Source organism: Homo sapiens, chromosome 2 (assembly GCF_000001405.40).
Source record: "Homo sapiens chromosome 2, GRCh38.p14 Primary Assembly".
Lineage (NCBI taxonomy): Eukaryota > Metazoa > Chordata > Mammalia > Primates > Hominidae > Homo > Homo sapiens.
Genome location: NC_000002.12, coordinates 164,626,460 through 164,627,461, shown reverse-complemented (window position 1 = coordinate 164,627,461; position 1,002 = coordinate 164,626,460).

Below are 1,002 nucleotides of genomic sequence, written 5' to 3'. Positions count from 1 at the left end.
TAAGAACCCCCGCTCCCGGTGGTTATTCCCCCTGGACTAGCCCATGAAAGCTGTTTTTCAGATCTACAAGAGTACCTCTATTTTACCTTTATTATTCTTCTGTGAAAGGAAGGTTTCACTCTGAATAAAGCTATGCTATCCATCAAAAAAAAAAAAGAAAAAATAAGAATTTGGAATAGTCCTATAACTATTAAAGATATTGAATCATTTATTAAAAACTTTTCCACAAAGAAAACGACCACAAAGAAAAAGTCTGATGGCTTAACAAGTAAATTTTATTAACTATTAAGGAAGAAATAACACAGTTTATATAAGAAATAATCTGTATAAACTCTTTAAAGAAAGAAAAAGAGGGAAAACTCTCCACTTCTAACAAGGCCATCATTACCCTATACAAACATCTCAGAAGAATATTATGAGAAAGAAAAATTCAGGCCAATCTCACTCATGAACATAGGTGCAAAAATGTTAAACAAAATATTAGCAATCTTATTAAATATATGTATAGATATGAGTAGGGTTTATCCTATGAATGTACACTTAGTTTACCATTAAAAAAGTCAACACAGTTAGGCCGGGCTCAGTGGCTCACGTCTGTAATGCCAGCACTTTGGGAGGCCGAGGCGGGCGGATCACGAGGTCAGGAGACCAAGACCATCCTGGCTAACACGGTGAAACCCCATCTCTACTAAAAATAGAAAAATTTAGCTGGGACTACAGGCAGGCGCCTGTAGTCTCAGCTACTTGGGAGGCTGAGGCAGGAGAATGGCATGAACCTGGGAGGCGGAGCTTCTATGAGCAGAGATTGAACCACTGCACTCCAGCCTGGGCGACAGAGCAAGACTCCATCTAAAAAAAAAAAAAAAGTCATCATAACTACTTTTTAATACATAGAATGATGGAGAAAAACCATATGATCAACTCTAGAGGCAGAAAAGTTGATTTAATAGTATTCATTCATAATAAAAATTCTTAGCAAACAAAGAAAATGAGGGAACCCTT